The 15,710-nt window shown below is 41.0% G+C and overlaps 1 long non-coding RNA gene across 1 annotated transcript, besides 1 other annotated feature; it reads left to right on the plus strand.

The window, feature by feature from the left end:
- The first annotated feature begins 1,068 nt into the window (after positions 1–1,068).
- On the plus strand, positions 1,069–13,891 carry LOC124906221 (uncharacterized). The gene is made up of 2 exons (XR_007095850.1): positions 1,069–3,876; positions 11,248–13,891. It is a non-coding gene; the product is annotated as an uncharacterized LOC124906221 (long non-coding RNA).
- Positions 2,012–2,614: an enhancer, noted in NCBI's record as "OCT4-NANOG hESC enhancer chr3:27678933-27679535 (GRCh37/hg19 assembly coordinates)". NCBI's record gives its function as "activates a minimal SCP1, AML or CMV promoter by ChIP-STARR-seq in naive H9 embryonic stem cells {active_cell/tissue: H9 hESC(naive)}" and the evidence as "EXISTENCE:reporter gene assay evidence [ECO:0000049][PMID:30033119]".
- Positions 13,892–15,710: the final 1,819 nt, after the last annotated feature.

Below are 15,710 nucleotides of genomic sequence, written 5' to 3' on the forward strand. Positions count from 1 at the left end.
AAAAAAAAAAGAAAATGATACTAGGCTTTGGGGTTGGAGTGTATTGCCTTCAGATCAGATACTTGGCTCTGATTCCCATAATGTCTTTAAGAATTTCTATCACTACTCTCTCTTTTTCCCCTCCTTTCTGTGCTAAGTATAACCAAGAAAAGGGGCTTTTGACCATTTCCAGATGAGGGTTTTAAAGTGGCAGCAGAGAGAGAATCCCTTGGGACTGGTATCATATTGGCAGCACAGATCATGACTAAAAAAAGACTGCACAGAGAATGGGGAATTTGGGAGAAGGTTTGCCAGGTTTGCTTTTTTGGTAGACCTTTTCCAGCAGAGTCAACTAGTCAATGCTTCCCTACTAAACCCTTGGAGTGCCTTGAGCCTGTGTGCCTCTAAGTGGACATGGATCCATTCTAAAACAATCAGAAGAGTACTTAGAAAACATTTATCTTGTGGCCAGGCATGGTGGCTCACACCTGTGATCCCAGCACTTTGGGAGGCCAAAGCGGGTGGATCACAAGGTCAGGAGATCGAGACCATCCTGGCCAACATGGTGAAACCCTGTCTCTACTAAAATACAAAAAATTACTAAAAATACAAAAATTAACTAAAAATTATTAAAAATACAAAAATACTAAAAATACAAAAATTAACTAAAAATTATTAAAAATACAAAAATACTAAAAATACAAAAGTTAACTAAAAATTATTAAAAATACAAAAATACTAAAAATACAAAAGTTAACTAAAAATTATTAAAAATACAAAAATACTAAAAATACAAAAGTTAACTAAAAATTATTAAAAATACAAAAATACTAAAAGTACAAAAATTAACTAAAAATTATTAAAAATACAAAAATACTAAAAGTACAAAAATTAACTAAAAATTATTAAAAATACAAAAATACTAAAAGTACAAAAATTAACTAAAAATTATTAAAAATACAAAAATACTAAAAATACAAAGATTAACTGGGTGGCGCACACCTGTAGTCCCATCTACTTGGGGGGCCGAGGAAGGAGAATCGCTTGAACCCAGGAGGCGGAGGTTGCGGTGAGCCGAGATCGCAGCACTGCACTCCAGCCTAGTGACAGAGACCTCGTCTCAAAAACAAAAAAAAAAAAAAAGAAGAAAGAAAACATTTATCTTGTAACCAGTGGGATACAAGAAGGGCTGGAACTCACCTGAAGGGCCAGAAGGGAGGTTAGAATTGAGAGCAGGGTGGGGAGGAGATTGTTCTTGAAAAACTAGGCTGGGGCCTTGCTACTCAAACTGTCGTCCCTGGACCAACAGGATTGGCACCAGAATATATATTTTAGCAAAATCCCCAGGAGATTTGTCAATATAATTAAAATATGAGAAGCACTGGGCTAGGGTGTTAGCTGAGAGGCTGAGGAGGGAAGAGTAGATTGGCAAGGAAGATCAAGGTAACAATTAGCAGGGCTTGGTATTCTGACATTTTTGGAGATGGAGATGACACAAAGATGAGTCCAAGAATACAAATTTGGGAGACTTAAAGAATACAAGTAACGTCCAATACTCATTTATCTACAGATAATTGATAGACTAATTAAAAATCATGCCTATTCATTAAGGCCTAGATCCATGGTCAAATGACATGTTTAGTTTTGTTTGCTAAGTTTGCTGTACCCATTAGCATTATATTTATGCATTTAAAAACAACAAAATTGTTTTTTTCTGCCTGAGAAGTTAAACGCAGGCTGTACTTATATTCATTTCTCTCTTCATTATTTAATCAATGTTTCCTTTCTATGCATTTGTTTTGTGACCTTGAACATTACTAATTATTATTATTTTTGAGATAGAGTCTTGTTGCTGAGGCTGGAGTGCAGTGGCTTGCTGCAACCTCCGCCTCCCCGGTTCAAGTGATTTTCCTGCCCCAGCCCCCCGAGTGGCTGGAATTACAGGGGTGTGCCACAATGCCCAGAAAATTTTTGTATTTTTAGTAGAGGCGGGGTTTCACCATTTTGGCCAGGCTGGTCTTGAACTCCTGACATCAAGTGATCTGCCCGCCTTGGCCTCCCAAAATGCTGGGATTACAGGCATGAGCCACTGCATCCGGCCAAACATTGCTAATGATTAGTGCCATAGCACACAAGGTGCCAGCTTTCTCAGTGTTGTGTAACCTATTCAGTTAAAATTAGACAGCGTGAGGGTTACACATGGGCTCTAAGTTTTTTACGTAATTCAGGGAACTAGTGAAAATGGTCTGGCACCTTGAGGTTATAAAAGGGATAGAACAACCTCCATGGGTGTCCTATTTATCATGCAGGAGTACTAACTCAAGTGATGCTGTGTTCTTTTGTCAATTGAAAGAATTAAGAAAGAAGAAGAAAGGCATTCCATCTATAAGTGGAAACGCTACTCTCACGGCATTCATGTACCAGCTATTGTCTAAGGTCTGACAGTTTCAGTGACTTATCCAGATGTTTTGTCTACATGATACCAGCCTCAGAGATATTTGCCAACATTAGTATAATTGAATACCTCATTCGGTTTTGCATCTTCTCATTTTCTTTCACCATGTTGACACCGTACTACTTCTTGTCCTCTCTCTCCCAGCTACAGGGGGATAAAGCACCAATGAACACACAATCCAGCCTCTTAACCTCTCTCCAGCACCTAGCTACTTCAAGTTAGAACTTCAAATTTGAACCAAGGAAAACAATGTTCTGTGAATCTTTTTCTCCCTGGAAAAATAGGAGAGAATGAAGTTCTTTTCTGTCTATAGTTCGCGACAGCTAGGGGATGATGAAAGTTGCATGCATTGTTTTTCATAATGTGTGATTTATTCCTTAAGAAAAAGTCACTCAGATGATTCTTGGTGCTCAAGATGTTGAAATGTTCTGACTCTTCTCTAATACAACAATAGTAAAGTGAATTCAACAGCCTACTGCTCACTTTAAAACACCGGGGTACCTCTGTGCTTCCCAGATATTATCGTTTCCCATGGCAGGTTCTAAACTGGTAGTCTGAAGCCTAGCTCTGGTCTGCAGACATGTTTTATTTGGACTCCACAGTATTTTTACAAACTTTGAGCCAAAATGTAAAAATAGGGAGATTTCACACCAAAAAAATCAGAGTCACTTCACTTTAATGAGAATATGTGACAAGACTAGACTCTCGTGTGGCATGGATCCTTCTTCGTATGACAGTGAGCAGCTGGAACTGGCTAGTGACTACCCTAAGATGCCACAGTTTCCACCGTTCCCTACCATTGACCTGACTTTGGGGCTGAGTTTTCATTTACTGATCTTGGGGCCAGTTTTCATTTACTGATCTTTGTACTTGCTATGTTATTTATCTCAAAGTAAAGAAATATTTATCTGGGCCCATGTCTTTATCACGGGAAAGATATCAGGCCAGGCACGATGACTCATGCCTGTAATCCCAGCGTGGAGACCCAGGCAGGCAGATCACTTGAGGTCAGGAGTTCGAGACCAGCCTAGGCAACATGGCGAACCCCTGTCTCTATTAAAAATATAAAAATTAGCCAGGAGTGGTGGTGCATGCTTGCAATCTCAGCTATTTGGGAGGCTGAGGCAGGGAAATCACTTGAACTCGGGAGGCGGAGGTTGCAGTGAGCCGCAATCGTGCCACTGCACTCCAGCCTGAGCAACAGAGTGAGACTTTGTCTCAAAAAAAAAAAAAAAAAAAAAAAACAAGCAAAAAGAGTAAGACAGCAAAAGATAAACTGAAAATTATATTTCAAGTAAAACAGGAGTGCACAAATTTCTTCACGGACTTGAGGAATATTCCTGCACGTTCAACATGTAAACTTTATATGTTTGTCAAAAGATTGTATGTGTTGAAAGAGAACCCAAGAACCTGGTTACTGCCTAGACCCTGAAGTCAATTGAGTAAGTGACCCTTCTTCACTTCCCAGAATTGGAACGGAGTGCCTAAATTGTGAAATAGAATGAAGATAAGTTTGCAAAACCATATGACATAGTGCATGAGATATCTGAACAGAAATGCACCTGGAACTGGAGAACCCAGAGTTGCTGTTTAGTGGGTTCATAGAGGAAGTGCCCTACAGTCTTCCTGTCTCTGCCTTTCTGAGTGAGAACCTGCTCTAGCACAGACCTCAACCAGGAAATAAACTCATATCATAGGCAGCAGCATAAAACATCTCTCTAATTCTCCCGCAGACCCATAATACAGTATCCTGAGAGAGGGTGCTCACTTCTACCTAGCTTAGAGAGCAGAGCCACAGCATTTTGCAAACAGACAGAAGACAAATCTACTTGGAATGATGAGTACAACAGCAGCCCACATCTGTACAGCACATCTGCAGGTTTTCACCTGTAAAGGAAACAAGAGACAAAGATCATGAAATTTGGGCTAGGCGCAGTGGCTCACACCTGATATCCTAGCACTTTGGGAGGCCAAGTGGGTAGATCGCTTAAGGCCAAAGTTTCGAGACCAGCCTGGGCAACATAGGTAGAGCCTGTCTCCACAAATAATAAAAAAATTTAGCCAAGTTTGGTGGTGCATGCCTGTGGTCCCAGCTACTCCAGAGGCTGAGGCAGGAGGATCGCTTGAGCCCGGGGGTTCAAGGCTGCAGTAAGCCATGATTGTACCCATTGCACTCAGCCATGATTGTACCCACTGCACTCCAGCCTGGACCACAAAGTGAGACCCCGTCTCAAAAAATAAAATAAAATAAAAATAAAATCAGACCTTTAAGTAAGTGCATAAGTAGACCTGAAAGTTGGGACATCACAGAGTAGGCAGACAGAGGACAATTAGTAGAAACTTGAAGAAGAAATATTTAGATTATGGCAGAACAGAGATGACTCTTTTGGCTAAGAACCTTTGTCTGTTCTCCAACCCTCAACAATAGTTCTTTAGCAGAAGGAATCAGAAATTGCTATAGATTGTTTATGATAGAGTGCCTGGTAAGCAGAGACTACAGTCTTCTTTCCCCTTGTTTTGGGAGGTGGAAAGGAAGGCAGAGGAAACGGCCAACATTCTTTATGTTCAGAGAAGAGTCTCTCTTCAGGTCTTCTTAGGGTCAAAAGGAGAGAGTTGTTCATTTCTCTGGCTCCTCACCGCTTACAGAGCTGTCCTCTGAGGGAAGGGTAGGGTGAAGGAGCCTTCCTGGAAGAGAAGGACTAAAAATCCTCAGCTTCTACTTTTTTTTTTTTTTTTTTTTGAGCCTGAGTATCTCTGTGTCACCCAGCCTGGAGTGCAGTGGCATGATCGTGGTTCACTGCAGCCTTGAAATCCTGGGCTCAAGCAATCTTACTGCCTCAGCTTCCCTTGTGAGGGAGTGCAAGTAGATGGGATTAAGTGTGCAAGTAGCTGGGACTACAGGCACATACCACCACACGTGATTAATTTTTTTTTTTTTTTTTAAGATGAAGTCTCACTCTGTCACCAAGCTGGGAGTACAGTGGTGTGATCTCGGCTCACTGCAGCCTCTGCCTCCCAGGTTTATGCAATTCTCCTGCCTCAGCCTCCTGAGTAGTTGGGATTACAGGTGTGCACTGACACGCCCAACAAATTTTTGTATTTTTAGTAGAGATGGGGTTTCACCATGTTGCCCAGGCTGGTCTTGAACTCCTGACCTCATGACTAATTTTTAAATTTTTTGCAGAGATGGCAGTCTTACTATGTTGCTCAGGCTGGTCTCCAACTGCTGGGCTCAAGCAATCCTCCTGCCTCGGCCTCCCAAAGCACTGGGCTTATAGGCATGAGCCACTGCATCTGGACCCCAGCTCTTACTCTTTTGAGGTTCAGCACTTGGAGAATCACTCTTAGATTGAGGTAGGACCACTAATAGCTATTATCAGGAAAGAATATCAAAGAGGAACTCACCATGAGGGAAAGGTAGGTCAAGGCTGGTAACCCAAGTTCAATGCAGAGAGGTGGAAGAGGGTGTGGGGGAGGGTTGGTATTGGTACAACATACAGCTGAGGACAAATACTGTTTGGTAGTGCTATACCTTGGTGACTATATGAAGCACATGAAGGTTAATGAAAATAATTATAACCTTGGATCAATCCCAAGTTGGGGTGCTATTAACCAAGGCATGATTCAACCAGTAAGTGTCTCAGTTTAGCAGATAACTGTCCCCCAGCCTGTGTGGGATCAGTCTCCAAGAGTCACACCCACAGCCAAAGCAACAGTGGGATTGGCCTGATGTGTGACTTTCAGTTTTCTCTCTCCCCTTGCTTTGATTAAGGCCCTCATGTCCTTAGACTATTTGCAGAGTGATGAGTGGTCTTTGGGAAATACTGTGCTTCTTAATAATAAGAGAAGGCCTGATTCCACTTGAGCTTATCAAGTGGGCTGTAAGAACTTCAAGGCCTAGGTTAAAGGTAAAGAAAAAATGTATACGGTTATCACATAGATTAGATTAAATCTTTTTTTTTTTTTTTTTTAACAAAACTCCTGGCTGAGTTAAGTAAGTGACTTTTGAGTTAAGAAAAAGAGATACCTGGATAAGGAAGACTCTACATGAGTGTTTCAGCTAAGACTCCGGGGCTTGGTGTGGATGAATCTGTTCATTAGCCCCGCCTTACTAAATACTGCCTTAATAGGGCTTATTTCTATCTGAATATATAGCATGATTCACTTGCTCTTGTTTATGAGGTAGGAGTAGGGAGGAGGCTGAAGGAGAGTGGCAATGGGAAAGATATATGCTTACCTTTCAAAGGGAGGTGGCCACTTGGCTGCCAGAAGGTTGGGGAAATGACCTCTGTCAGGGCAATATCCCTACATCAGATCCATTGCCTGCCCTTAACCAAGGAAACCAAGGAAAGCCCTGAGCAGGGCTGGAGGAGGAGAGTGTGCCAGCCTCATGGGCTATAGTAGTCCTGGTGACGGGCTGAGACATACAGAAACCAACACAGAAGTGAGGACTGACTCCTCTTAACCCTCCACTTCAAACTCCATGGGAGCACTAAGCTTGGGGAACACACCCACCATTCAGGTGAACCTCGGGAGGTTTCAGCATGTTCCAAGGTACAACAGTCAAGTTAGCACATAACAGCATGTCTTGAAACGGCAGGTAATAAGCATTAATCTCCCTAATAAATTCATTAGTCAGCTGTATAGTCTTGAAAGTGGTTTGTACACTCAGATCATAAATTAAACCCTGGTTAGATATTAACCACCTCTGACTTTGCTCAGCAAATGTCCCAGTAGCCCTAATGGGATCAAAAGATTCCATTAAGGTTTCCTGCTTTTCTTTTGCCTAATTACACTGATACAAAGCTTCACAGAGAATTTTTAGGGTATAGTTTAAAAAAAAAAGGCAATGCCTAATCTAACTTTCATGGGCATATTTACTAAAAAAAAAAGACTGACTATGCACGCAGTCATTCAGGATTCTGGATTTCTGGAAACAGATACTTCTCAGGGCATCTTTGTAGGGAGATTAGATGAGATTTCTATCACTCACACGGCTCTTCTTTCAGGGTGGGCTCCCTTGAAGCCTATGTCCGTAAGACCAGCCCTCTGTCCAGTTGTCTTTCTCTCTGGCTGTTTTGACACACATTTCTTGACGCAATATTTCCCTTTTTGGGTATTTTTAAGCTTAATCATACATTATCTATCCAAATCCAATGTTTTGCATTCCTTGTATAGAGAGGTCTGTGAACTAGCAAAGCTTAGAGAGATACCAGGAACTCCTGGCAAAAGTATTTTTCAATACCCTGCCAATCACCTCTCTCTCTCTCAATCCCTAGTTTTATTTTTCCTTCCCCTCTGCCCTGTGCTGCCCGCTCCGCAGAGAAAATCCTTCTTTCTGTCTTCCACTCTCCTGCCTCTTTGCTGTGAAAACTGCACGCATGTTCAGAATACCCACCTTTCTGTTTCTCCCTCATCTAACCCCCTAGTCCCCATCCCTTCAAACTGACATTTCCCCAAACCTCTCCAGATGGTCCCTTGTGCTTTATCATCCCATCTCTACCTCTCTCATCATTCAGCCCTTGGAGGTAAAGGACCTCTGCATAACAGAAGTTGGTTTTGAAATATTTCAGAATTTGACTCTTCCAGACAGCTGTCTTTGTGGCAGGCATGATCCTAGGTCTCTGGGGACACAGAGGAGAACAAAACAGAAAATATCCTTAGCTCCTAGAGCTGACTAACATCCTGCTCTCAGCTCAAGGGGGTAAATACCTGTGGCATTTCTACTCACAATCAATTGGTTTGTTTATTGACTGTTGCCAAATTTCGGGGGTTTTTTAAAACTGAACTTCCTTGACAGTAACAAAGCAAGACTTTGTATTTATTAATATACTTTAAAAAATTAAGGTGGAGAAGTTTTTTCAATATGTTTTAACGTATCCGCAATGAGAACACATGCGCAAGCAGTCTATTGAGAACTCAGAGGTCAACAAAAGAAGGTTGAACAAATGTTTGGATTGTCAGTGTCATCCTGCAGATGGATCTGCTCTCCAGATGAATTTTTAATACAATCTCAGGTCCTTTTCATTGGAAAATTATCTTATTTTACACTGATACATTTATCTATGCATCTATTTTTTTTTTATTTTTTTAGAGATGGGGTCTTGCTCTGTCACCAAGTTGAAGTGCAGTGGCATGATCATGCATCCTCGAACTCCTATGCTCAAGCAATCTTCCCACCTCAGCCTCCCAAGTAGCTGGAACTACAGGCACGCACCATCATTCTTGGCTGATGTTAATTTTTGTAGAGACAGGGTCTCACTATTTACCCAGGCTAGTCCCGATCTCCTGGCCTCAAGCGATTCTCCTGCCTTGGCTTCCCAAAGTGCTGAGATTATAGGTATGAGCCACAGTGCCTGGATGACTTTTTATTGTTTTAAAATTTTTTATATACATTTATTTTTCCATATTATGAATGTAAAATGTAAGTAAGTTTTTAAGGGCAGAAGACAGAAGAGAGAGTACATGTGTTTTCAGTTCTTTGGTCTGCTAATTGTGTGAACTCAGAGGTGACAGGCAAATAGTTAAAAACAGGTGTGGCTAGACCCTGACTATGCAGAACAAGTATGGATTTATGGGCTCATACCAGCTGAATATGAGGCCTGGAGTGACATCAGAAAATGGTTTCCTCTCAGCTAAAAGGGGCCTATATTGAATATTCAAAAATTAGTAGTCTGCAGACAAAGATGAGCCTCAAAGTTTTAAGCCCAGTATTATTGATTAGAGTACGCATTCTCTAGTTTGCCATAGGCCTCGCCACTCTCTATTGCGCACACCCTATTTTCACAATTGCTTTGCATACATTTATATAACCAGCCATGACACATAGATGTCTTGCCTATGAAGGTATCTGAGTTTTCAGTCCTTGAATTGGAAGCTTTCCTTGGCTCCCCTATCAGAGCTCTGACATTTCTGGTTCTTGTTCTTTCTCAACACCCTCTTCGTGTTGTGCTGTTTCACCAGGACTTAGCAAGTGCCGTGGGAGACAAGGGTCTTAAATATAGTGTATTTAATTTAGATGTCTCTTAAGCTTCATCCTCTATTTGCTCAATGATTTGGATTCTGGTTTCTGTTCAATTTTATCAGTGGGGGAGAGGGGTTTGGTGGGGATGCGGGGAGAATCAGTTATGAATTTTTAAACAGATTTGAAATGAGATATTTAGATAGAAATGAAAATATGGGCACAGAAATGTCTCCCCTCTCCTTGTCCATCTAGAGAAAGGCAATCTTGTAATCATTTAGACCCAGTTGTCTCCAGATGGTTGTGTGATGTGTCACTCTAAGACAGAAGGCAGGACTCAACTCCAGGACCTTAAAGAATTATTGGTCTGATTTGGCTCACTTCTTTTTTTTTTTTGCGACAGAGTCTCACCCTATCCCCCAGGCTGGAGTACAGTGGCATGATCTTGGCTCACTGCAACCTCTGCCTCCTGGGTTCAAGCGATTCTCATGCCTCAGCCTCCCGAGTAGTTGGGATTACAGGTGCCTGCTACCACACCCGGCTAATTTCTGTATTTTTAGTAGAGATGGGATTTCACTATGTTGGTCAGGCTAGTCTCGAACTCCTGACCTCAGGTGATCTGCCCACCTCGGCCTCCCAAAGTGTTGGGATTACAGGCATGAGCCACCATGCCTGGCCAGCTCACTTCTTAGGGTATAGTTTTGGGGGCTAGGGATGAAAAGAGAAGGGGGAAACCATCTAGTTTCATATCTTTTTTTTTGAGACAGGGTCTTGCTCTGTCACCCAGGCTTGAGTGCAGTGGCACCATCTGAGCTTGCTGCAACCTCCATTTCCCAGGTTCAAGCTGAGCCACCAAGCCCATCAAATTTTTGTATTTTCAGGAGAGATGGAGTTTCACCGTGTTGATCAGGCTGGTCTCAAACTCCTGGCCTCATGCGATTCGCCTGCCTTGGCCTCCCAAAGTGCTGGGATTATAGGCATGCACCTCCGTGCCCAGCCTCTCATTTCATATCATTTAGAATTCTGTTGTTGTGACCTGAGCCATCACATGGGACAGCCCAAGGGCATCCTCAAATTAAAAGAGTGTTTCTCAAAGTGTATTTTCTGCACCACCTGACAATAGCATATTGGTCGGGCATGGTGGCTCATGCCTGATATCTCAGCACTTTGGGAGGCCAAGGCAGGCGGGAAGACCACTTGAAGCCAGGAGTTCAAGCCCAGCTTGGGCAACAATGTGAGGACCTGTCTCTACAAAAAATAATGTTTTAAAAATTTGCTGGGCACAGCAGCACACACCTGTAGTCCCGGTTACTTGGGAGGCCAAGTCAAGAGGATCGTTTGCGTCCAGGACTTCAAGGCTGCAGTGAACTGTGATCACCCCATTGCACTCCAGCCTGGGTGACAGAGTGAAACCCTATCTCTAAAAAAATTAAAAAATAAAATGCAGATTCCTACTGATGTTCTCCCCTTCATCCCTATGACTTACCTCATAGTTTGCCTGCAGCTAGATGGTTTCTGTACATGAATCTCTTCTCTATTTTGCCTGAGGGCTTTCCCTGGCTCCAGAGAAATTTTTAAGTGCCAGGGAATTCATGCCTAGCAAGACAACCATCAACTAATAAAGGAAAGGAGTTGGTGGAGAAATACCCCAGCTTCTCTGTCTCCCTCAGTAGGGCAGTTCTAAGGCTTGCTTTTCATAGTTCCTCAGACGATCCCTAGTAAGGTTGAGCCCTAGTTGCCCAAGTCTACAACCTGCTCATCAGTGCACATGTTCCCTGCCTCATCTCTCTCTTGTTTGTGTTTCTGGGGCCGTCACTCTAATAAACTGCTTACATCCATGTCTTTGTTTTAGGGTCTCTTTGGAGAGCTCAAATTAAGGAGTGTCATCTCAGACAAGAGGCGGTAGAGTCATGATGGACAAGAGGCTTTGGAGCCAACTGCCTGGGTGTACTCCAGGTTCCACTACTGATTAGCTGATAACTAGCTAACTAGTTGTTAACCATTCAAAGTTTCAGTTTCCTCATCTGTAAAATGGGAATAATAACAGTAGCTACCACATAGGGCTCTTGTGAGGATTAAATGAATTCATACATGTAAAGTGCTTATAGTAGTGTCTGGCTCATAGTGAATGTATATAAGAAATGCTATTATTATTGAATAGATCAAGGTCTCTTGGGTGGGGCCCAGAAATATACTTTTCAAATAAGCTCTCCAAGTGATTCTCATGCACAATAAAATTTGAGAACTGCTGAACTAGAGACACACCCCTTGGCATTCCTATTTACAAAGAAAACATTTAAGGAAGCCTATTCTACTTCAGTAAGTAAGCAAACACCTTCTGCATGGAAAGTTTTTGGGGTAAAATAAAAAGCTGTGTCACTGCTCAGAGTGCAGGAGAGAATAATGACAGGTGATTGTACCCTTGAGGCTCACCAGGTTACTGGATTCATCCCCCAATTTAAACCTTTTCCCCATATTAGGTAAAACAAGTTCTAAAATACATTAGTTCTTTGAAACCAGTGATAGCCCAAAGTATGGTCAGACTGGCAGCATCAGTATCACCTGGGAAATTCTTAGATATGTTATTCTCAGGTTCCATCGCAGGCTTCCCCACTGCAATGGTATTATTTTTCCCTTTCCATAATATATTCATTGGAACTAAGTCACTACTAAATCCAGCCCACACTCAGGAGGAGGAGAATTATGTTTCAATTTCTAGAGGGGGCGGTATCTACATTAATTAGAATTCTTCTGCGCAAAAGATGTGCCCCTCCTCCCCTCATTTATTTATTCATTAGTTTTTATTGATGTGTACTCAGGGATATTTAATTTTTTAGTTTATAATCCTATATTATGACTATTTATTTTCTTGCTCAAATCGTCCTGAGCTTTGGCCATTGGGAACTGTTTCAGGTTGGCTCCTGTGTCCTTTTGACATCCCCAAGCTCATTTTTCCTGTCCCAGCCCCAAAGAGCCATAGAATTGAGAAACCAAGATCTGGACACTAGTTGTGTTTATTGATGCTGGGTGTCATTACTTCTAGGCCCTGTCATCTGACACAGCAAGGAAATATATGTGTGTATTCTAATACATGTATGCACACATATCTATGTATTTTTCTGAATCTGGCTACCTGCATGCATATGTACGAAAATATATTAAAATACAGATATAAAATAAACATAAGTTTATACTGGTATCTCTTACTGTAATTCAGCAGCATAGGGGACATTCTAGCCTTCTCGTCTTGCACATTTGTAACTCCTTCCTCTAAGTTGTATTTATTTGTTCAACTCTAGTATATATTGCTAACCAGAAGCCCTGAAGAAAAAAATTTACCAACTTAGGTAAGGTGTTTATACTGAGTTCTTTTTGTCTTTAGTCTTACAGTCTCCAATAAAAATAGCATTTTTAAAAGTTGCTGAGGTCAGCTCCCCACCCCTTTCTGTGAGGTTATTGTATACATTTGAAATATAGTTAAATGTATTTGTTGCAAACAGAGCTCCATTCTGGGGTGGGATAGATTTTTTATAGTCCATTTGCTCAAGGATTTATTGAATATCAGGACTCCTAGCAACCATAAAATGCTTTATATGTTTTCAGTATACTTTGTATGTATGTGTGTAAGGCTGTATATAACATTCTTCAAAGAATACATGTTCACTGGAGAAAAATATCCAAAACTACAGGAAAGCAAAAAGAAAATAAGTCACCAGGCAGCCTATTGCCTGGAAATAACCATGATCAAAATTTTATGATATATTCTTCTAAGCTCTTCTAGATGAACAAAGTTGGCATTATAAATTCACATTATTTTGAACCTGCTTTTTACCTTTACTACATCATAAACATAAGATAGTATTTGGATGTAAAAAATGCAAATTTAAAAAATATTTTCTCCTCCTTTTTTCTAGGGATTTCAGATTAGTAATCAGAGATGCTAAGCAAATGCTAATACAGGCATACCAATAAACAACTGGGACTCTTCCTGGCAAGGGGAACTGATTAATAAAATGGGTGCAAACATTAATTGATGGTGTAAATTAAGAATCAAATCCCTGTTTTAAACATGTTATACACACAGTGCAATCAAGAAAAGCATTTAACCAAATTTGTTCATGAATTCCATTGTGTGCTGTTGAATAGCTAATTTATAATTGCATTTGTCTGTAAAATAATCTATTAATAAAATTGGAGAAAATTGGGCATAGATTCATTATCTCAGTCAGTTCTAGATGCTCACTGAAGAACGTTTTCCCTGCAAATGAGGTGGAGACCTCATTATCATGCTCAGCAGACTGGGAAGCACATATCTGTCCTTTATTTCTCCAGTGTTGAGTAATGTTCCAGAAACCCAACTAATTCATTAAAGTTAGCAAAAAACTTGTGTTCATGCTTAATCTTCTTTGGTGTTAATTAGAGTTGTCTGTGGCTTAAAAAATGTTTTATAATTTACTGAAACGAAGAATAAATTGCCTATCAGCTTTGTAAAAGTATTTGTGCTTTCTGCTGGTAGTTCTTGTCCTTTCTGGAGAAAAATGGTTTGAAAAACGTTTTATAAACTGAAACGAAGAATCAATTGCCTATCAGCTTTATAAAGGTATTTGTGCTTTCTGCTGGTAGTTCTTGTCCTTTGTGGAGAAAAAGCTGGGCCCTTGAGTCACCCTTCCTTTTCGGAATTTTTGCTTTCCCACTGCTCTTTGGACTCATGAAAGGTCAGGGTAGAAAAGACTCAGAGAAGTAATCCAGAAACTACTGTCAATATTAAACACAGAGAAAGTTAGAAAGTCTACAGCTAAATGGGCAGGAATAAAGAGCCTGTAGTGAAGTATTCATTTATTCATTCTTTATGCAATCAATTAACAAATCAACAATCATCGATTAAGCACCAGCTACATGCCAGGCAGCATGCTAGGCTTTGTGAATATACAAGTTAAAGGTCTGGTCTAGGGTTGACAAGAATGTGGGAAATAAACACTCTAGTATACCGTTGTTGGTAAAGCAAATTAATACACCTCGTCATGAAGTGGGGTGGATATATGACAGAATCTATTAGTACTTGAAGTGTATATACTCTATTATTTAACAAGCCCAATTCTGAGAATGTATGTATCCTATGAAAATTCAGTTGATCTCATGATTTGTGAATTTGCCTGTTCACTAAAATTTATTTATAACTCCAAGATCATTACTCAGAGCATTTTCACAGTCATTCGTGAACACGTAGAGCATCAAAAGCTTTGAGGATACATATTCCCAGCTGAAATTGAACAAGGTAATGTGTTGCCTTCTTGCTTCACCTCTTATACTGCAAACAAGTACCCTTTTCATGGTCTATTTAGTGCCACATTTTTCACATTTTTGTGCTTTTCGTTGGTCATTTCACTGTTAAAAATGGTCCTAAAGCATAGTGCTGAAGTGATGTCAACCTACATCACTGTACCTGTGATAAGGTACACCATAGTTCAAGAAGGCTGTGATGTACCTTACAGAGAAGATATTGTTAGATAAACTTCATTCAGGCATGAGTTATAGTGGTGTTAGCCCTGAATTTACTGTTCATGAATCAACACTATATATTACAGAATATGTCTTTAAACGGGAACACACGTGAGCTGAATGTCTGTGTCCCCCTCAAATTCATATGTTGAAGCCCTAACTCCCAAAGTGATGGGGTTTGGAGATGGGGCCTTTGGGAGGTAATTAGGTCAGAGAAGGTCATGAGAGTGGGGCCCTCATGATAGGATTAGTACCTTTGGAAGAAGAGACACCCCAGAGCTTGCTCTCTCTGTCATGTGAGGACACTGCAAGAAGGCAACAAGCCAGGAAGACAACCCTCACCGCAACCTGACCCTGCTGGCACCTTCATCTCAGACTTGTAGCCTCCAGAACTGTGAAAAATAAATTCTTGTGCTTAAACCACCCAGCCCATGGGATTTTGTTAAGACAGCCTGAGCAGACATAGGCATTTGGAATTCATCTATGAGGCAAACAGAAAAGGTACTTACCCTTGCAGAGCTTACATTCTAGCAGTACAAGGATTACTGCAGTGGCCACCAATAGGAGACTGATAGCTTGTAGCCCCAGCAATCCATCTCCTAGGTGCATTTCAAGAGAAATAAAGGTGTATGTCCAAAGAAAAAAAAAAAAGACATATACAAAATAGTTGTTAGTGGCTTTATTCATAAAAAGTGGCTAGTCAACTAAGCACAGTGGTTTGTGGACCTGTAATCCCAGCTACTTGGGAGGCTGAGGCAGGCCGATTGCTTAAGCCCATGAGCTCAAGACCAGCCTGGATGATACAGAGAGACTATG

The sequence above is a fragment of the Homo sapiens genome, chromosome 3, assembly GCF_000001405.40.
Source record: "Homo sapiens chromosome 3, GRCh38.p14 Primary Assembly".
NCBI classification, from domain to species: Eukaryota; Metazoa; Chordata; class Mammalia; order Primates; family Hominidae; genus Homo; species Homo sapiens.